At 56.4% G+C, this 19,398-nt stretch overlaps 1 protein-coding gene and 3 long non-coding RNA genes across 10 annotated transcripts in view, besides 11 other annotated features; 2 read left to right on the top strand and 2 right to left on the bottom strand.

Annotated features, from left to right (window-relative positions):
* Positions 1 to 102: part of an enhancer, noted in NCBI's record as "H3K4me1 hESC enhancer chr1:32818736-32819250 (GRCh37/hg19 assembly coordinates)", that runs on past the window's edge. NCBI's record gives its function as "activates a minimal SCP1, AML or CMV promoter by ChIP-STARR-seq in naive H9 embryonic stem cells {active_cell/tissue: H9 hESC(naive)}" and the evidence as "EXISTENCE:reporter gene assay evidence [ECO:0000049][PMID:30033119]".
* Positions 1 to 1,635, bottom strand: part of LOC124903933 (uncharacterized) — a 9,727-nt gene extending 8,092 nt beyond the window's left edge. Inside the window, exons 1-2 of one of the 2 annotated variants that reach the window (XR_007065636.1) lie at positions 1,109 to 1,635; positions 435 to 525 (exon numbers count right to left, since the gene is read on the bottom strand). This is a non-coding gene — a long non-coding RNA (uncharacterized LOC124903933). The remainder of the gene's footprint in view (positions 1 to 434; positions 526 to 1,108) is intronic. The other variant, XR_007065642.1, reaches the window with a different exon arrangement.
* Positions 1,307 to 1,826: a silencer, noted in NCBI's record as "silent region_596". NCBI's record gives its function as "represses an Ori minimal core promoter by ATAC-STARR-seq in GM12878 lymphoblastoid cells {active_cell/tissue: GM12878}" and the evidence as "EXISTENCE:reporter gene assay evidence [ECO:0000049][PMID:35858748]".
* Positions 1,373 to 10,101, top strand: LOC105378629 (uncharacterized). 5 transcript variants are annotated; one of them, XR_947157.3, is made up of 3 exons: positions 1,373 to 1,627; positions 1,899 to 1,983; positions 10,004 to 10,101. It is a non-coding gene; the product is annotated as an uncharacterized LOC105378629 (long non-coding RNA). The 5 variants fall into 5 exon arrangements; XR_007065654.1 differs by lacking the exon at positions 10,004 to 10,101 and adding an exon at positions 7,812 to 8,201; XR_007065648.1 differs by lacking the exon at positions 10,004 to 10,101 and adding an exon at positions 4,337 to 4,754.
* Positions 3,755 to 4,049: a silencer, noted in NCBI's record as "tiled region #14076; K562 Repressive DNase unmatched - State 7:EnhWF". NCBI's record gives its function as "represses a minimal TATA promoter and a strong SV40 promoter by Sharpr-MPRA in K562 cells {active_cell/tissue: K562}" and the evidence as "EXISTENCE:reporter gene assay evidence [ECO:0000049][PMID:27701403]".
* Positions 4,138 to 17,860, bottom strand: LOC124903949 (uncharacterized). The gene is made up of 2 exons (XR_007065661.1): positions 17,733 to 17,860; positions 4,138 to 4,831 (listed from the first exon to the last, which is right to left on the bottom strand). It is a non-coding gene; the product is annotated as an uncharacterized LOC124903949 (long non-coding RNA).
* Positions 15,631 to 15,759: a silencer, noted in NCBI's record as "fragment chr1:32803079-32803207 (GRCh37/hg19 assembly coordinates)". NCBI's record gives its function as "represses an EF-1alpha promoter that drives an FKBP-Casp9 reporter gene in an ReSE screen in HepG2 liver carcinoma cells {active_cell/tissue: HepG2}" and the evidence as "EXISTENCE:reporter gene assay evidence [ECO:0000049][PMID:32094911]".
* Positions 16,423 to 16,512: an enhancer, noted in NCBI's record as "active region_686". NCBI's record gives its function as "activates an Ori minimal core promoter by ATAC-STARR-seq in GM12878 lymphoblastoid cells {active_cell/tissue: GM12878}" and the evidence as "EXISTENCE:reporter gene assay evidence [ECO:0000049][PMID:35858748]".
* Positions 16,693 to 17,222: a silencer, noted in NCBI's record as "silent region_595". NCBI's record gives its function as "represses an Ori minimal core promoter by ATAC-STARR-seq in GM12878 lymphoblastoid cells {active_cell/tissue: GM12878}" and the evidence as "EXISTENCE:reporter gene assay evidence [ECO:0000049][PMID:35858748]".
* Positions 16,693 to 17,392: a biological region, named in NCBI's record as "H3K27ac-H3K4me1 hESC enhancer GRCh37_chr1:32801487-32802056".
* Positions 16,782 to 17,351: an enhancer, noted in NCBI's record as "H3K27ac-H3K4me1 hESC enhancer chr1:32801487-32802056 (GRCh37/hg19 assembly coordinates)". NCBI's record gives its function as "activates a minimal SCP1, AML or CMV promoter by ChIP-STARR-seq in primed H9 embryonic stem cells {active_cell/tissue: H9 hESC(primed)}" and the evidence as "EXISTENCE:reporter gene assay evidence [ECO:0000049][PMID:30033119]".
* On the top strand, positions 17,004 to 19,398 carry MARCKSL1 (MARCKS like 1). Of its 2 annotated transcripts, none has more exons than NR_052852.2 (2): positions 17,004 to 17,065; positions 18,140 to 19,398. NR_052852.2 is itself a non-coding variant. In NM_023009.7 (2 exons), exons 1-2 carry the CDS (start codon positions 17,204 to 17,206, stop codon positions 18,638 to 18,640), a joined length of 588 nt encoding a protein of 195 aa, NP_075385.1. In that variant the 5' UTR covers positions 17,004 to 17,203; the 3' UTR covers positions 18,641 to 19,398. The 2 variants fall into 2 exon arrangements, 1 of the variants encoding a protein (NP_075385.1); NM_023009.7 differs by having other exon boundaries at positions 17,004 to 17,290.
* Positions 17,243 to 17,392: a silencer, noted in NCBI's record as "silent region_594". NCBI's record gives its function as "represses an Ori minimal core promoter by ATAC-STARR-seq in GM12878 lymphoblastoid cells {active_cell/tissue: GM12878}" and the evidence as "EXISTENCE:reporter gene assay evidence [ECO:0000049][PMID:35858748]".
* Positions 17,523 to 17,602: a silencer, noted in NCBI's record as "silent region_593". NCBI's record gives its function as "represses an Ori minimal core promoter by ATAC-STARR-seq in GM12878 lymphoblastoid cells {active_cell/tissue: GM12878}" and the evidence as "EXISTENCE:reporter gene assay evidence [ECO:0000049][PMID:35858748]".
* Positions 17,743 to 18,182: a silencer, noted in NCBI's record as "silent region_592". NCBI's record gives its function as "represses an Ori minimal core promoter by ATAC-STARR-seq in GM12878 lymphoblastoid cells {active_cell/tissue: GM12878}" and the evidence as "EXISTENCE:reporter gene assay evidence [ECO:0000049][PMID:35858748]".

Here is a 19,398-nt window from a genome sequence, read left to right as displayed (position 1 = left end):
GAGGCCCTTTGAGGCGTGATTTGTGCCTGAGCACACCATCAGGAGTGTGGGAGGCCAGCCAGGAGTGGTGGCTCATGCCTGTAATCCCAGCACTTTTGGGAAGCTGACTGGGAGGGGGGCAGATTGCTTGATCCCAGGAGTTTGAGACCAGCCTAGACAACATGGCAAAAGTCTCTACAAAACAAAGCAAACACACACACACACACACACACACAAAAATTAGCTGTACTTGGTGGTGCAGGCCTGTGGTTCCAGCTGCTGCAATCCCAGCAATCCTCCAGCTAATGTAGGAGGACTGCTAGGGCCCTAGGAGGTCGAGGATGCAGTGAGCAGTGATTGTGCCACTGCACTCCAGCCTGGGTGCCAGAGTTGAGACCCTGTCTCAAAAAAAAAAGAAAAAAGAAAATAAAAAAAGGTTGGGCATGGTGGCTCACCTGTAATCCTAGACTTGAGAGGCCAAGGCCGGTGATTCACTTGAGCTCACGAATTCAAGACTAGCCTTGGCTACATAGTGAAACCCTGTATCTACAAAAAAATACAAAAAATTAGCCAGGTCTGGTGGTGAGTGCCTATAGTCCCAGTTACTTGGGGGGCTGAGGCAGGAGGATCGTTAGAGCCTAGGAGGTCGAGGCTGCAGTGAGCTATGATCGCCCCACTGCACTCCAGCCTGGATGACAAAGTGAGATCCTGTCTCAAAAAAAAAGTGTGTGAGCAGGGGCTGGAAGCCCTGGGTGGGATGAGGAAGGGTTTCTCCAATGGGCAGCTGACCTTCCTGTCCCTGGCCCCCTCCTGCTGCCTCTGTTTGTCCTTGCACTTCTGTCCTTGACCCTGGGGAGGAGTGTCTCTGGGGAACCTGGAGATCTGGTGACCAGCCCCCTCCCACTGAAGCGGCTAGTGGGGGCAGACTAGACTAGACCTCACGAGAGAGACCAGCTCTGCCCCCAACCCCTCTGCCAGCTGACGCCTCCTGGCCTTCTGCTAAAAACAGCCGGGCCCGGGGGGAATATGGGTTTTCAGGCCTCCCCCTCCTCGCCCAGGCAGGTATTAAAGAGAGGCCGAAGTCGGGCCAGACCGGCTGGACACCATGCTATTCACCGAGACTGCTCACTTCGTGGTGAATTTTCTTCTGTCCCAGTGAGGGGGCCCGAGGGAGGGCGCCAGCTGGATAAAGCGCCCTGGTCTGGCAGCTGGGGGAGGAGGCACTCAGGTCCTTGGGAAGGCGCCAGTGGGGGCCTCCAGTCCCTTTCCACGTCCCTCTAAATCGACCAGGAGTGACCCCGGCCCGTGCCCTGCCTCGTCCGATCGGAGGCAACTTCCTCCTCCCCGCCTGTCGTGTTCTCCTGGGGTGACCGCTGTCCCATCTCCCCCGCAGGCGGCCCCAGGCCACGGCCCCGCACCGCCTGGACCAGGAGTTGTGTTTCTGGGGCAGCCGGGGCCCGGTCTTGCCGGCGCCCGCCGCCCGCCGCAGCCTGGGCGACTACTGGCTGAGCCCGCAGCGCCGCCACCCTCCGGGTGCCGCCTGGCACTGGCCCGCACGCAACCTGTTACTGCTGCCCCCGGCCACCGGCCTGGCCGACGTACCCTCGGCGCGCTGGCCCAGCTGCTACGGCGCGCGCCCGAGACTCACGTGAGTGCGCCGGGAGGGGCGGGGCGAGGGCCCGGGGAGTAGACGGGGTGACCGGGGCCTATGCGAAGGGGCGAGGTCTAAGGAAGGGGCGGATCCAGAGCCGAGGATCCGGGCCTGGGGGCGAGGGGAGGGGGCGGAACTGGGTGGGAAGGGCGGGGTCTGAGGGCGACCGGGAGCGGAAGGAAGGGGCGGGGCTAGGCGGAGTGGGCGCAGACCCGGAGGGAAGGGACACTTGCCCCAATCCCGTCTTCCCGATTTCCCTTCCCTCCAGGTGGAAGCACCGGTGGCAGAATATTAACTACTATTTTCTGGGCAAAAGGAAGCGACATCTAGTTCCCTTGCGCCCGTGAGAGCCGGTGAGGGGCGTGGCCACAGGGGGCGCTGTAGGTGGGCGGGGGCTCGCGGAGGGGCAGGTCTTGGGCGGGGCCTAGCTAGAGGCGTGGGGGAGGGGCGAGGCCCGAGCACGAGGTTGGCCTGCTGCAGTCGCGGCCTGCGAGGCTCCAGGACCCTGTGCAGATGAGCCGCAGTCAGAGGGGCCCCGAGTGCAGGGCGTGGTCTTTGCAGGGTTATTTTTCCCCGCTCTTCTTGGGCTGACACAAACATACTTTTAAAAAGATTGACAAATTTGACTATGTTGAAATTTCTGTTTGTCAGGAGACATCCCCAAAAAAGTAGAGGAGCCCCAAATAGGACTCCTCAAACATAATACCAGCTCTGTGCCCAGTGCAGGGAGTCGGGGACCAGGAAAGTGGTGCACTCGGGTGGGCACCAACTGGGTCAGAGCAAAGGTGACTCCAGCCCTGGGCCTAGAGGCGAAGCTGAATGACCAAGGGAAGGGAAGCTCGGGGTCAGTTTGAAGGGCCCTGTCGTGGTGATCATCCTGTGTGTCTGTGTTCACATTTCGGTGCATCTCTGAAAGTCTGTACCACCTCTGAGTGTGGTTCTGTTTCTGTGTGTTCTATCTCTGATCTATGTGTCTATTTAGTCAACGAATATTTATCAAGGGCTTGGCCAGGTGTGGTGGCTCACGCCTGTAATCCCAGCACTTTGGGAGGCTTAGGGGGGCAGATTGCTTGAGGCCAGGAGTTCTAGACCAGCCTGGGCAACATGGCGAAACCCCATCTCTACTAAAAATGTGAAAAATTAGCTAGGCGTGGTGGCGTGCACCTGTAGTCCCAGCTACTCAGGAGGCTTAGGTGGGAGAATCACTTGAGCCCAGGAGGCAGAGGTTGCAGTGAGCCAAGATCGCACCACTGCACTCCAGCCTGGGCAATACAGCAGACCTTGTCTCAAAAAAAAACAAAAACAAAACAATTATTTATCAAGGGCATGTTTTAGTGATTTGTGACAGGTTTATACACTGAGTTAATCACTGGGTTTACACTGGTGAAGCAAACAGTTGAGGTCCCTGCCCTCATGGAACATACATTCTGGTGGGGAGACAGGCCATAAACTGGAGAGAGAAACAGTGTGTTATGTTTGAGAAGAACAGGGCTGGGTCAGGTGCTACTTGATATGGGATGGGCAGGGACTTGGTCTTTTCTTGAGGGGGCAGGGGGACGGAGTCTCGCTCTGTCGCCCAGGCTGGAGTGCAGTGGCGCAATCTCGGCTCACTGCAAGCTCCGCCTCCTGGGTTCACGCCATTCTCCTGCCTCAGTCTGCCACCACGCCCGGCTAATTTTTTGTATTTTTAGTAGAGATGGGGTTTCACCATGTTAGCCAGGATGGTCTCGATCTCCTGACCTTGTGATCTGCCCGCCTTGGCCTCCCAAAGTGCTGGGATTACAGGCGTGAGCCACCACGCCATGCCGGGACTTGGTCTTGTTCACAGGTCTAGAACAGTGCCTAACACATAGCTGGGGCACAGTAAATGCTGAGAGAATGCATGTGTTGTCGGGAGGTCACTTCTGAGGAGGCAAGTCTTAAACGAGGCTAGCAAGGATGGTCAGCCGCTTCCAGAGCTTGGGAAGAGTGTTCTTGGTGGACGGAACAGTGTAGTCTTGTTGGTAACCACTTGCCTCTGGCTCTCTGTGCCTGGAGAATAGTGTTTCTGTGTCTTTTTTGTTTGTAGTCTGTGATCCTGGGAGCCCTGGGGCCAGTTTAAACAGGGCCCCATCAGGGTCTCTGGAAGTGAGGTCACTGCCCAACAGATTCACCCCACTGGCTAACTCTGGCTTAACTGGCTGGGCCTGGCCATTCCCCTGGAAGCAACTCCTCCCCACAACAGCATCAGTCCCACGACCTCTGGCTCCTTCCCAGGGCAGCATCCTGCAGTCCGGAAGGAAGTTCTTCGTCCTGTCTAACCACAGACCCCGCTGAGGCAACCCCAGCCTTTTCCTCTTATTCTGCCTTGTGGGCAGAAGGGAGGAGATGGGCTGACCCTTCAGCAACGGGTCCTGGCCTAGACGGAGAGCCCAGTAAAGACCTGACAGAGTGGGGGTGACAACACCCTGCAGCCTCGGGGAAGTGAACTTCAAAGGGCAGAAATAATCACTCATCTCAGAAGCTTCTTTGGCATCCATTATCTCATTTAATCAATTAACACCTACTTTATAGACAGAAACTCAAGCAGGCCCAGGGAGGGAAAACAGTGGCAGAACTGGGACCAGAATCCAGGCCTCTTGATAAAATAGTAATAATTAATATTATTGCACATATACTCACTGCCAGGTACTGTGCTAAAACTTTGCATGCATTTTCTTCTTTAAGCCTCATCACATCCCCATGAGGTGGGTACCCTCATTATTCCTGTTGTCCTCAGATGAGAAGGCGGAGGCTCAGAGCTGTCAAATGACTTGTCCAAAGACACCCAGGCAGTTCATGGCAGGACAGAATTTGAGCCCAGGCAGTCTGGCGTGCTCAGCCATGCTCCCTGTGCCCTGGGATTCGGGAGGATTGTCACAGATGTCTACTTTCCAGGGACTTGGGGAGACAGGCTTCAGGCTCTATCACATGATGATCCTGGGGCCGACTTGTGCCAAGGCTGGGCTGGGAGGGAAGATGGCCTGGACGCACAGCGTAATCCTGAGTCCCCTCTCTGTGGATGACGATGAGTTACCTTTGCCCTCCCTCCTGAGATCTCTGTGGTTCTGCCCTTCATTCTCCAAATAAAATCGCTGTGGCCTCACTCTGGCTATCTCTACTTTGAGGGGATGATCTCGGTTTTTCCCATTGACACACACTGAGTTGACCAAACCTACAGGGCTGGAAGAGATTCTGCCATCACCTCTTGACCTTCCCACCATGCCCACCCCACCCATGAGCTCCTTGGGGGGATAATGGATGAAAAAGGCCTGGTTCCTCCTCTCCTGACTCTCAAAGTGCCACAGAAAGAGGAGACATGCACCAGCTGAGTACAGTGTCACAGGAAGGTGACATTAGTTTGGAGCACAGTGGGTCATCTGGTGGGTCAGGAAAGTCTTCTGGAGGGGTCCCTGGAGCTGGTTCTTGACAGGTGGGCGGGCACTGGGGTGCACATGCCCAGGGAGCTATATTCCAGGCAGAGGGCACAGCGTGGAGAAAGGTTTGGGGATTTGTGAGACTGGCAGCCAAGCGGGCTCTCCCTAAAATGAGGCCAGCCAGGGCATAGCTTCAAAGACCTTGAAAGCCAGTACAAGGGGTTATCCAGGCAGAAACAGGGAGTCATGAACAGGTTTAAAGCAGGGGAGGGGCTGGGTGCGGTGGCTCACGCCTGTAATCCCAGCACTTTGAGAGGCCGAGGTGGGTGGATCTCTTGAGGTAAGGAGTTCGAGACCAGCCTGGCCAACACAGTGAAACCCCGTCTCTACTAAAAATACAAAATAGCTGGGCATGGTGGCGTGCACCTGTAATTCCAGCTACTCGGGAGGCTGAGGCAGGAGAACCACTTGAACCCAGGAGGTGGAGCTTATAGTGAGCCAAGATCACGCCACTGCATTCCAGCCTGGGCGACAGAGCGAGACTCTGTCTCAAAAAATAATAAATAAATAAATAAATAAATAAAGCAGGGGAGGGGTGCGGTCTGGCGATTGGTCCCTGGCTGTCAGCTAGGTCTGAGGCCTCAGGCACCTGTCCTTGCACCCTCTCTTACCCACTCTCCCAGGTCCTGTCCAGGACTGTGGCCTTGATGGGTTTCCCCCAAGCCTCCGTGCAAAGGTCTGGCAGAGGTTGCTGATGGCTAGAGGAAAGAGCTGCCCTGACTCATCCACTCACTGCTCAACAGGAGCCCCCCTCCCTCACCCACATAAGACCCCCCTATGGGCCAGGCACTGTGGCTGACGCCTATAATCCCAGCACTTTGTGAGGCTGAGGCAGGCAGATCGCCTGAGGTCAGGAGTTTGAGACCAGTCTGGCCAATATGGCAAAACCCTGTCTTTACTAAAAATACAAAAATTAGTGGTGTGGGGCACCTGTAATCCCAGCTACTTGGGAGGCTGAGGCAGAATCACTTGAACCCAGGAGGCGGAGGTTGCAGTGAGCCGAGATCACACTACTGCAATCCAGCCTGGGCAACAAGAGCAAAACTCTGTCAAAACAAAACAAAAGAAACAAAAAAACCCTATGATCCATCCCCTGCCCTTTACGGGGCTCTCAGTCAAAGAAACAGGTGAGACTGGCAGCCAGGTGGGCTCCACCTCAAATGAGGCCAGCTCAGGGCAGCCCCATACCCAGCTCTCCGGAGCAGCAGCCATGTCCCTCCCTCCTCCAGCCCCTCTCCCTTCGCGCAGAACCTAGTCCCCATCTCTGGGGCTCTCTGATCCAGGAATGTCTCTAGACTTCATCCTCTCCTCCTCTACCCTGTTCCCTCGCCTAGTTCAGGCCACCATTGCCTTTGTCTGGACGAGTCCATTGACTTTTCCCTGGGTTTCCTGCCTCCAACTCTGTCCTCTCTGATCTGTGTCCACTGGGGCCTGTTTGTCTGTTTTACAGGTCCCTATGGGACATCCAGGGTGACCTCCAAGGTCACCGGGAGTTCTGGACAAAGATCTAGGCTGGAGATAGAGACTTCAGAGTAGCATATAGCTGAGCTCATAGATATAGGAGAGAGAAAAGACAGACAGAGGGGTGGTCGATGGTCTCATTTTTTCTCTCCAACACAGATTTCTCTCCAGGCCATAGATCTAATGACATCCCAAAGCCACCTTGGTTTAGCCTGGACCAAACCGACCCCTCTTTTTCTATGCACACACCGCTGCTCTTCCCCAGCTTCCTCCGTGGTGCTTGACACGCCCTTCTGCCCATTTTCCCAAGCCAGACCTTCGGTCCCTCTCAGCCCTCCCACCTCCCCACTCCCACGTTGAGTCCTTCCCTGAGTCCTGTGGCTGCTGCTCCTGAACGTCCCCCGTGCTCCTTCCCTCTCCTTTCCTCTGCCTTTCAGTGGCATTTAACATGGTGGATCACTCACTCCTTCCGGAAGCTGTTTCTTCCCCCAGCCTTGAGGACACCCCTGCTCCTGGCTCACTGGCCATCAGCTGATCCCCTGATGGGAGTCTAAATGTCTTCTGCCTTCTTTTTTTTTTTTCTTTTAGAGATGGGGGGTCTCACTACATTGCCCAGGCTGGTCTCGAACTCCTGGGCTCAAGCAATCCTCCCGCCTCAGCCTCCCAAAGTGCTGGGATTACAGGCATGAGCCACCGCACCAAGCCTGGCTCTGCCTTCCCTTCTTGAGCCACTCTTTCTCTCTAGTGGATCCCGTTGAGCCCTTTGGCTTCAAATTTGGGATCACCCCTGAACTATTACCTGGAGATGGAGCTTCAGGTATTAACTGCCAGCCTGATGGCTCCATGGGGATTCTAACAGGCACCTGGAACTTCAACTCCAAGGCTACCCTCTTAAGCCCCGGCACTGAGAGCAGGGAGAACCATGAGCTCAAGACACGTGGGTGCTGGCCAACTCTCCCTTCCACTTGAGTTCAGGCCCCATCATCTCTGACCTCGATTACTGCAACAGCAGGGAAAGACAGCCAGGCAGAGGGGACTGCCTGTGCAAAGGCAGGAAGGAGAGCAAGGTTATGGCTTGGCCAGAAGCCCAGAGTGTGTTGTGGGGCTCCGATAGCAAATACCTTAAATGTAAGGCTCGGGCTTGGTCCTGAGAGCAATAGGGAGCCACTGAAAGGTTAAAATCCAAGGGGAGCACATTTGTTTTTACACTTCTGTCACGCCTTTGTTCATTCCTCCCCTCGTTTACTTTGTCTGTCAACAAATAGCTGCTGAGCACCCTCTATTAGAAAGTGACCCTGAGACAGTGGAGAATGTCTGGAGGGGCAGAACTGGTTGGCAGAGAGGTCAGTGAGAAGCTGATGACGTAACCCAGCCCAGGTGAATGAAGGGTCTTCCACAGGGCGAGGCATGGAGAGGAGCAATGAGCTGAGATCAGTCCAGGTTCCTGGCTTGGGCAGTGGAGGAGGTAAGTAAGGTGTGAGAGGTGCCGAGCCCAAAGCTCAGAGCGATGGAGTCTATGGTGGGAAGAGCCAGTCCTTCCTCCTGGGGACTCTGGAAAGCTCCTCGGGAGTGGCTTGATCTGGGTTTTAAAAGAAGAGTAGGCCGGGCGCAGTGGTTCACCCCTGTAATCCCAGCACTTTGGGAGGCCGAGGCGGGCAGATCATTTGAGGTCAGCAGTTTGAGACCAGCCTGGCCAACATGGTGAAACCCCATCTCTACTAAAAATACAAAAATTAGCTGGGCATAGTGGTGGGCACCTGTAATCCCAGCTACTCGGGAGGTTGAGGCAGGAGAATTGCTTGAACTCGGGAGGTGGAGGTTGCAGTGAGCCGAGATTGTGCCACTGCACTCTAGCCTGGGCGACAGAGTGAGACTCCGTCTCAAAAAAAAAAAAAAAAAAAAGAGAAGAGTAGAAATTTAGCAAGTAGAGAGGAATGCTGGGCAGAGGAAACAGCATGTTCAAAGGCCCTGAGGCAGGACGGAGCTCAGCACTCAGAGGAACTGAGAAGCCAGTCGAGTTGAAGCTCAGCAGGCCAACTGGAGTGCTATGGCTTGAATGTGTCCCCCCAAAAGTATGTGTATTCCCCAATGCAACAGTGGTGAGAGGTGAGGCACTAGGGAAGGGTCGCTAGGGATATGAGACCTCTCTGAACAAGCAGAAGAGAAGGGGAATTTAGGCCTGGTGCAGTGGCTCATGCCTGTAATCCCAGCACTTTGGGAGGCTGAAGCAGGCAGATAGCCTGAGGTCAGGAGTTCGAGACCAGCCAGGCCAGCATGGTGAAACCCTGTCTCTACTAAAAATACAAAAATTAGCTGAGCGTGGTGGCAGGCACCTGTAATCCCAGCTACTTGGGAAGCTGAGGCTGGAGAATCACTTGAACCCGGGAGGCGGAGGTTGCAGTGAGCTGAGATCACGCCATTGCACTCCAGCCTGGGCGACAGAGCGAGACTCTGTCTCAAAAAAAAAAAAAAAAAAAAAAAAAAAGAGAAGGAGAATTTAAGGAGGGGCTGGGAGGGGACAGAAAGATGAAGTATGTGTTTGGGTGCGGGTGGGGGGCCACTCCAGAGTATATTTTTCTGGAAAAAGGCACTAAAAGGTCCCAGGAGGACACTTATGGGTTGCAAGAGGAAAGGGAGAGAATCTTCAGGATTCTGAGGAAGAGGCACATTCCTTTCTCATATAAGAAATTAATTGAGGCCAGTGGCTCACGCCTGTAATCCCAACACTTTGGGAGGCCGAAGTGGGAGGATCACTTAAGTCCAGGAGTTCTAAGGCCAGCTTGGGCAACATGGCGAGACATTGTCTCTGTGGAAAAAAAAAAAAAAAAAAGCTGGCCATGATGGTGTGCACCTGTAGTCCCAGCTACTTGGGAGGCTGAAGTGAGAGGATCACCTGAGCCCAGGGAGGTCGAGGCTGCAATGAGCTATGAATGCACCATTGCACTCCAGCCTGGGTGACAGAGCAAGACCCTGTTAAAAAAAAAAAACAAAAACAAAAAAAGAAAGAAAAGAAAAAGAAAGAAAGAAAAAGAGAAGAAGAGAAGGAAGGAAATAAGGAAATTTATTGAAGCCAAATAAATTCCCCCCTGAACAATTCCCATCCTTGGAACAGCCCAGTCAGTGCCTTCACTACCTGCCCCAGACGAAAGATGATGAAGGGGCCACAGGGCTGACTCAGGGCAATCCTAGGCTCCCAGCTCCCCTCCCCAGGGCAGAAAGAGAGGAGAGAGAGAGAGGACAAGAATGGGAAACTGTTGAGCACCAAGTTTGTGTCTGGCACCTGCCCCGGAATTTTATGTAACAGCCCTGAGGAACATTATTGAAATCCTCCAGTGTGGTCTGCACCTCAAATGCACGGGTTTTTTGGTGTGTGTGTGTGTGTGTGTGTGTGTGTGTGTGTGTGTGTGTCTGTATGTTTTGTTTTGTTTTTTGAGACAGAATCTCCCTCTGTCACCAGGCTGGAGTACAGTGGCGTGATCTCAGCTGACTGCAACCTCTGCCTTCCGGGTTCAAGCGATTCTCCTGCCTCAGCCTCCGAAGTAGCTGGGATTACAGGTATACGCCACCACGCCCAGCTAATTTTTGTATTTTTAGTAGAGATGGGGTTTCACCATGTTGGACAGGATGGTCTCGGTCTCTTGACTTCAGGTGATCTGTCTGCCTCGGCCTCCCAAGGTGCTGGGATTACAGGCGTGAGCGACCGCGCCCAGCCAGGATGCTCTGTTTTAAGGGCTTTCCTTGATGCTTCCAACTCATTTATTTCGCAATAACCCCACAGAATGAGTACTATTATCATTCCCATTTTATAGATGAGGATACTGAGGCTCACTCAGAGAGGCCCTGAAGTCACACAGTGGTGATGGAGCCACCTCTTCACCACGAACACCACCTCAACACAACGACACCTCACCCAATCCTCACAACCACCTGAAGGGGTTCCCAGTGTCTTCATTTTAGAGTGGGCGAGTGGGGCTAGCAAGGGGAAGGGACCTGTCTAGGGCTGCAAAGCTGGAAGGCAGCAGTAGCGTGGGCTCGGATCATCTGGGGGAAGAGGCGGAATAGGAGAGGTGGTGGGGTGGGGTTGGAGTGATGTAGAAAGGGGTGGGATTGGGGACTAGCTAGGAGGGAGTTTCAGTTTCTCTTTTTGTTGTTGTTGTTTTGAGACAGAGTTTTGCTCTTGTCACCCAGGCTGGAGTGCAATGGAGCGATCTTGGCTCACTGCAGCCTCCGCCTCCCGGGTTCAAGCAATTCTCCTGCCTTAGCCTCCCGAGTAGCTGGGATTACAGGAACACGCCACTATGCCCAGCTAATTTTGTATTTTTAGCAGAGACGAGGTTTCACCATGTTGGCCAGGCTGGTCTCAAGCTCCTGACCTCAGGTGATCCGCCTGCCTCAGCCTCCCAAAATGCTGGGATTACAAGCATGAGCCACCATGCCCGGCCCAGTTTCTCTTTTGAAGGGACTTCCCCTAAGTGGGGATTTTGGTTGGAAAGTTGTAAGCAACCCGCATTCCACTGGTTTGGCCACTCCTTTCCCAAAGGTACCCAGGATCTGTAAAGAAACTGAAAGTCAGGAAGAGGTGAGAAGTGGGAGAGGGTAAGCTCCGGGCAGCCCAGATAAACTGGGTTGAATTTCTGGTGACCTCATCAAGCCTGGGGGAGGTCAGCAGGTGAGCTGGAATTACAGGCTTCTTTGCTATTGGGGAAACTGAGCCCCAGAGAGACAGCTCTATCAGATAGTGGCTGGGCCTCATCCAGTCTATGCAACCACCACACATACACATGCGTGTGCACCTGTGCACAAGTGCATACACACACACAACCAGGGGAAGGGGGAGGGGAAGGGAGAAATGAAAGGTCTGGGTGGCCTAGAATTCTGAAAGGGAACTTTCGAACCCCTGTCCTTATGATTTGGTCACTGTCTGGATGGCAGGTCCCAGTGAAGGGCCCCTGAGGTGCCCCCGTATCCAGAGCAGGGCTCAAGGCCTGTCACTGGCAGGGACGCAGCACACCTGGGTCTTGCTGACAACCAAGCCGGGAGCCAGAGAGCCCAGGCGAATGAGAATAGCTCTGGTTCTGCAGTGTCCAGCCCCTGGGGCAGGCCCTGCAGCTGCCTCAGCTCTCCTTGCCAGCACCTCTGGCAGCTCCTCTCATCCTGAGCTCACAACCCTCTCTGGATGCCTCCAGCTGACCCTAGCACCACACACGCCTCAGAGCTCTTGAAAGCCACCTTCCCCCAGTCCTGGCCTTGTTTCCTCCTCTGGAAATGGGGACAATGGTGGTACACATCTCACAGGGCCAGAGGGAACATATGGAAAGCAGGCGGCACAAGGCTTGCCATACAACAGGCACGCAACCAACGCCGGCAGCAATGACGGTGATTACTCTCTGTTCTTCCTGCCTTTAAAAACATTTATTTATTTATTTATTTATTTACTTATTTTTGAGACAGTCTCACTCTGTTGCCCACACTGGAGTGCAGTGGTGCAACCTCGGCTCACTGCAACCCCAACCACCCCGCCATCCCCTAGCCTCCCAAGTAGCTGGGACTACAGGCACACACCACCACACCCGGCTAATTTTTGTATTTTTAGTAGAGATGGGGATTTACCATGTTGGCCATGGCTGGTCTTGAACTCCTGCCCTCAAGTGATCTGCCTGCCTCGGCCTCCCAAAGTGCTGGGATTACAGACATAAGCCACTGTACCCGGCCTATCTTATTTTTTGTAGAGATGGGGCCTTGCTATGTTACAAGCCAGGCTAGTCTTAAGACTTCTGGGCTCAAGCAATCCTTCTGCCTCAGCCTCCCAAAGTGCTGGAATTACAGGTGTGAGCCACCGCACCCTGCCCCTATTCCTGCCTTTTGCCTATTTTTCTTTTTTAAGACAGATTCTCATTCTGTCACCCAGGCTAGAGTGCAATGGTGCAATCTCTGCTCACTGCAACCTCTGCCTCCCGGTTTCAAGCGATTCTCCAGCCTCAGCCTCCCGAGTAGCTAGGACTACAGGCATGCGCCACCACACTCAGCTAATTTTTGTATTTTTTGATAGAGGTGGGATTTCACCGTGTTGGGCAGGCTGGTCTCAAACTCCTGGCCTCAAGCAACCTGCCCACCTCGGCCTCCCAAAGTGCTGGGATGCGCCCTGCCCCCTTTCTGCCTTTTAAAGATTCTTCCCATTGGTCTGCACTCTGTGCTTTCTCCTGCCCCTAGTCAGCTGCTGGCTTCTTCCCAGAGCCCTCTCCTGCTGCTGCCCACCAATGCAGTGCTCCTGCCACCCAGGCATCTCCTGGGCGTCTGATGCACGACTTGGCTGCCGTTACCCTCTTATTGGCAACAATCAGAGGCCTAGATTTCCAGGGGTCAGTCCTGACTTAAAAACCTTCTGTCTGTTGTCCCTGTAAAGTCACTAGCCAGCCTTTAGGAACAGCCTTTGGCTCAGGAAATGTGATCACATGTCTATGTGAAGTATACAGACTTCAGGCTGCCTTCTGCGCATCCCCCTGAATCTTCCTTGGACATCGCAAACGCAACAGGGCTAGATTCAGCAACTCCCTCCCATGTTCTTTTTCCCTTTGATGGCCTATCTCAGTTGACAGGTCCACTTCACCCACTGTCACCCCAAACAGAAAGGTGGGCAGCATCAGTATCTGGTCCCTGCACGCAGCCAGTTACCAAATCCTAGAGATCCCACCTCCCAAACCTTGCTCCAGCAAAGGCCTCTGCCTCCCTCTGCACCCTCACACCTACCATTCCTGTTCCCACTTTGTCTTGCTCTGAGCTCTTCTCCATGTTCTTCTTCCTCCAGGCAGCCCACAGTTCCTTCATCTAATGCTAGGTCTGGCTTTCTTCTCCCTAAGATATGGCCTGTCTCTTTTCTCCCTCCCGTCATGGGAAACCCCTGAGGGCTGGGACCCTGCCTGACTCACTACTTACTCTTAGACGTCTAAGTGTGAGCAGAAAGAGGAACTCCAGTCAGTATCTGCAACTATGAATCACAGAGCCCAACCTCTCACTGTACAGATGAGCCAACTGAGGCCAAAGAGGAGAGAGGACTGGCTGATGGTGACAGCAAGAAGTGCCCAACCTGGGGCAAGAACCGAGGTCTCCAGGTCCAGCTGATGCTCCCCAGAAGGAGATGGGGACTGGGGCTGTGCCAAGTAGCTGTTCCCTAGGGCCTCCGTTGGGACCTCTGATGATGTGTCTTCCCATCTCAAGGCCTTTACATATGCCAGTCCCTCCGCTAGGAAGGCCCATGCCTCCATCTCTGACTACATATTGCCCATTCACACCTCCCCTGGCATCTAATCCAGTCCTCAACACAAGGCTCCGGGGCCTGACAGACCTTAAAGTATCCCCCAACCTCCTTCATGGGGCATTGGTTTCTGCTGCCCCCTCCCATCTTCACCCCTGCCCTGCGTCTCTCCAGAGGCCCCAGGTTGCCTGCCAGGGAAATTCATCCCCTGCTGTCCGTGCCTGATTCATGGTGGGGCCGGGAGCATCTCAGGCCAGGGCCAGGGCCAGAGCCCTTACTAGGAGAACTGGGACAGATGAGGAGTTGTATGAACGTGGGGTCTCTGGTCTCTGCACCTTCCATTCCCCCATCCATCCCAGCGTCACCCTGTCCTCATTCCTCCTTTCCCTGTCACTCCATCCTGGCAAACGCCCACATCTCAAAGGTTCTAACCACCACAGCCACAGCCTCAGTGACACACTGAGGCACACACAGCTCCCCACCGCCACAGGAACACTCACCCAGACATAAAGGAGCCGCTCTTTGCTCCACACATTCAGATATTCCCGAACTCTGGGCTTAAGCAGTCTTCCCGCCCCAGCCTCCCAAAGCACCGGGATGACAGGCGAGAAGCCACCACGCCCGGCCCATCGATATTCTCTCATACAGCCACACACTCAGTTTCACACCCAGTCAGACACAGTCACCAACAGTCTCAAGGAAGGGCAGGCACAAACCCAGCAAGTCTCAGTTACCAGGATCACCAGGCTCTCTCCTTCACCCTTGAATATACAGGGCCAAACAAAGATCCAGACGCACGCAACCACAAATGTGCACACCTGGGCACACGCGCACACACACACACAGCCAGAAAGTCTCACACACACAGACACAGAGCAATACACACAGTCACACACAGAGAGAAACAGATACACGCAGTTGCACACTGGCTCCCGGAGACGCAGAACAATGGGCGCATTGTCTGGGTTGGCAGCAGCTGGGGAGGAAGGAGCTGCAGTGTGGACCGAGGAGGCCATGGGGCTGCTGTAACCTCCCACCCCCACCCTGAAGCATCCTAAACCTCTTGCCTCTTCCAGAAGTCAGATTCTGCTGGGACCTGGATTTGCTGAGGGATCAGGCTCCCAGGCGCCCCCTCCCCAGCCTCCTGGGATGTCTGGTGGGGATACAGGGCATCCCCTGGGGACCAGGCTCCCTCTGGGGCTCTGGGGACTTGGGGTCTTTTACCCTGATGCTCTTCGATGCCCCTCCTGGGATCCTTGGGAAGATTTGCCTCTCATCCCCGCCAGGCAGTGCCTGGGGATCAGAAGCCTTAGGTTCTGCTCTTAACCTCTGACCCCAACCCGTGCAAGACTCACACACCCTCCGTCCCTCTGAGCCCAGCCAGCTGGTGCGGGCAGCGCCTGGCAGCATTGTGGGTTCCCTATTGTGGCTGAGACAGAGAGCAGGTCATGACATCCTTCCCTTAGTGGCAAGCTGTGGAGAAGTCACGGTACTTTCAGTGAGCTGCAGTGGGGGCACAGTGCCTCTCCCCGTCCCAAAGCTAGCCCTTGCCTCCCACTCTGACCAGGCAGCCCCAGATCTCAACAGAAAATTCTGCCAGGGGATTCCTTACAGCCCTTGGCCCATGTTATCAAACCTCTCCAAGCCTTTTCTCACCCTCAGCTACTGGTAGCTGCTGTGTGCCCTTGGGCATGTCACTTTCTCTTCCTGAACCTCAGGGTCCCAGTCTGTGAAATGGGGCGGGGGTGGGGGGCAAGTGAAGCTGAGATAGCTGAGGGTATTCTGTAGTCTCAGGGTGGGGGTGGGGATGGAGGATACAGGAGTGAGTGCAGAATGCAGAAGCCACCTCAGCCCTCCCCGCCCCTCTGTGGTCAGATCTCTGGGGAGTTCCCAATTTCTCAGGCCCTGGGGTGTCTCCACACTTCACAGCCTCAGGCCTCCCAGGAGGCTTCACCGTAGGAGGGAGGGGAGGGACTTGCTGAGCTGGCTGGGACACAGCCTTGCATTTGCAACACTTTGCTTCCTTCCAGCCCCCATCCCTTTCCTCCTGGGGGCTGAGGGCTGGCAGCCGGACACAGACATCCGGGGCCGGCCAGGATTCTGGGGTTCCCACCAGCCTATCCAGGCCAGCAGAAGGAGAGGTGGCAGAGGACCAAAGCTAGGGAGTCTCCAGCCCGGAGCACCTCCGGGCTCCCTTGCTCTCAGGCAGGGTGGGAAGCTGGGCTGGGCAGCTTTGAGGGCTGTCCTCAAGGGGCTGTCCCTTGAAGGGACCCTTGGTAGCATCCTATCCCTCCCCTTCAGAAACTGGGGTGTTTTGAGGTTTGTTGAGTCCCCAGCTGGGGTTCCTCTGCCGGCCTGGGGCACCCTGATGTAGGGGAGCAGAGTTGTGTGTGGAGGTAAAGAGGAAGGACCAGAGCCAAGTCAGACAGGTTGTCAATGCCTCTGAGCCTTGGCCTTTCAATGGGGATGGAGATGCCCTTCAAGGTCACAAAGTCCCCCACGTGGGACTTTGCAGTGGGTCCAGGCTGAGGGCAGGAGGGGCTCAAGGCGAATCTGTCTGTCCCCACTCAGAATGACTGGCCACCAAGGGACTGAAAGGAGGAATGAGGGAAAGGCCTCACTAGTCCGACCAGAGTGACCCCGAGGCAAGGCAGAGCCCTCCGCTCCCCGGCTGGCCATGGCAGGCAGGCAGGGACGTGGGTGGGACCTCTGACCGCTCTCCAGGCCGGAGCGGGTGCCGAGCCCAGCGCAGGGGCCCTGCAGCTTCTATGACCACATTTCTAGAGTATAATTCAGGACCAGCCATCTGACGAGCCTGGTCGTGTGAGCCCTTCGAAGGGTTCAAGCGGGAGACTGCCAGCGGCTGCAGGACCAAGGCGTTGGGGGCCGCTCCAGGCTGCGGGGGCGCCCACCGGAGAGGTGGAGCGGAGAGGATGGAATGACTGCCCGTCTCCTTCCTCCAGGCCCCCCGCCCCGCCCCGCCCAGCTCGCGGGAGGACTGGCCTCGCTCCTGCCCACACCGGACTCTACCTGCCCCTGGGATTCGGGTGGGGTGGGGGGTACCCGACCGCCAGCGTCGCCTGCTGCGCAAGTGGGGCCTGCGAGCCAACCCCGCCTCCGCCCCTCGATTGGGCGCGCATTTAAATGTCCGGCCCCGCCCCGAGCTCCGGGCGCTTATATATAGGCAGCTCGGCGGGCGGCGGGCGGCATTCTGGCGCGGAGCGGAGCGGCGGCGGGCGCAGCTAGCGGGTCGGCCGCGGAGCGGAGGTGCAGCTCGGCTTCCCCCGGCACCCCTCCCCCTCGGGCGCCAGCCCCACCCCTCCGCCGGCCGGGCCGACCCCGCCGTACTATCCCCTGCGGCGCGAGCCCGGGGCGGCTCCAAGCGCCCCCCAGCAGACCCCCATCATGGGCAGCCAGAGCTCCAAGGCTCCCCGGGGCGACGTGACCGCCGAGGAGGCAGCAGGCGCTTCCCCCGCGAAGGCCAACGGCCAGGTGGGTACGCTTGGCCCGGCCGGCCCCAGCCCCTCCTCTCGCACCTCGCCCCTTCTAGGGCCCGGGGCCGGGGCCGGGGCCGCGCGCTTTGTCCGGCCCGGGACACGCGGCGCCCCCTCCCCCGCCCGGTCCCTTTGTTCTCGGCGCCGCAGCCCCCGCGGGCGAAGCGAGGGGAGGGGCGGGGAGGGGGCGCCGGCCGGGCCCTGCCGCCTTCTTTGTTCGCGGCCCCGGTCCCCGGCGCTGCCCCCCGGCCGCCCCGAGTGCCGCGCGGGGAACAAAGGCGCTGCTGGGCCACGCCAAGGGGGCGCCCAGGGGCCGCGGAGCTGGGGCCCGGCGGGGAGCGCACTCCACCCGCCGACCCGACCTCGGTGGCCCACGGTCTTTTTTTTTTTAAGGGGGAGCCGAGATGCGGGAGAGCCTGGGGTGGGTGGGGGCCACTTACACAAAGCGGGAGGCTGGGAAAATAGGCCGTCCAGGTGCAGAGAGACAGCGCCCCGGGGCGGCTTCCCGCCCAATGTCGCCTAGAGCGGCTCGCCCGCCTGCCCGGGATCCGCACAGCAGATCCGGAGCGGTTCCGCGCGGAATAGAGAGCGCGCCCCGGGGGACGGGGGTGGGGGCCACGGGACCCCAGCGCCTCCTGCCGGTCGCGCCCTCTGCGCGCTCGCTCCCCGCGCGCCCGTGAGGGGCGAGAGGGAGGTGTTTGACGGGATCCTGGGTGTGGGTGAGGCTGAAGCCAGACTTTCGGGTTGCAGTAGAATCGAATCGAGGACCCCTTCCTCTAGAAGGGATCAGAAGCGGGCTGGGGGAGGGGGAGCCCCTGCCCTCATTGCTATTCCCTCTGCCCTGCAGGAGAATGGCCACGTGAAAAGCAATGGAGACTTATCCCCCAAGGGTGAAGGGGAGTCGCCCCCTGTGAACGGAACAGATGAGGCAGCCGGGGCCACTGGCGATGCCATCGAGCCAGCACCCCCTAGCCAGGGTGCTGAGGCCAAGGGGGAGGTCCCCCCCAAGGAGACCCCCAAGAAGAAGAAGAAATTCTCTTTCAAGAAGCCTTTCAAATTGAGCGGCCTGTCCTTCAAGAGAAATCGGAAGGAGGGTGGGGGTGATTCTTCTGCCTCCTCACCCACAGAGGAAGAGCAGGAGCAGGGGGAGATCGGTGCCTGCAGCGACGAGGGCACTGCTCAGGAAGGGAAGGCCGCAGCCACCCCTGAGAGCCAGGAACCCCAGGCCAAGGGGGCAGAGGCTAGTGCAGCCTCAGAAGAAGAGGCAGGGCCCCAGGCTACAGAGCCATCCACTCCCTCGGGGCCGGAGAGTGGCCCTACACCAGCCAGCGCTGAGCAGAATGAGTAGCTAGGTAGGGGCAGGTGGGTGATCTCTAAGCTGCAAAAACTGTGCTGTCCTTGTGAGGTCACTGCCTGGACCTGGTGCCCTGGCTGCCTTCCTGTGCCCAGAAAGGAAGGGGCTATTGCCTCCTCCCAGCCACGTTCCCTTTCCTCCTCTCCCTCCTGTGGATTCTCCCATCAGCCATCTGGTTCTCCTCTTAAGGCCAGTTGAAGATGGTCCCTTACAGCTTCCCAAGTTAGGTTAGTGATGTGAAATGCTCCTGTCCCTGGCCCTACCTCCTTCCCTGTCCCCACCCCTGCATAAGGCAGTTGTTGGTTTTCTTCCCCAATTCTTTTCCAAGTAGGTTTTGTTTACCCTACTCCCCAAATCCCTGAGCCAGAAGTGGGGTGCTTATACTCCCAAACCTTGAGTGTCCAGCCTTCCCCTGTTGTTTTTAGTCTCTTGTGCTGTGCCTAGTGGCACCTGGGCTGGGGAGGACACTGCCCCGTCTAGGTTTTTATAAATGTCTTACTCAAGTTCAAACCTCCAGCCTGTGAATCAACTGTGTCTCTTTTTTGACTTGGTAAGCAAGTATTAGGCTTTGGGGTGGGGGGAGGTCTGTAATGTGAAACAACTTCTTGTCTTTTTTTCTCCCACTGTTGTAAATAACTTTTAATGGCCAAACCCCAGATTTGTACTTTTTTTTTTTTTCTAACTGCTAAAACCATTCTCTTCCACCTGGTTTTACTGTAACATTTGGAAAAGGAATAAATGTCGTCCCTTTA

Source organism: Homo sapiens, chromosome 1 (assembly GCF_000001405.40).
Source record: "Homo sapiens chromosome 1, GRCh38.p14 Primary Assembly".
Classification (NCBI taxonomy): domain Eukaryota; kingdom Metazoa; phylum Chordata; class Mammalia; order Primates; family Hominidae; genus Homo; species Homo sapiens.
The sequence above is the reverse complement of the archived record's forward strand: the minus strand, read 5'-3'. Positions and strand labels throughout refer to the sequence as shown.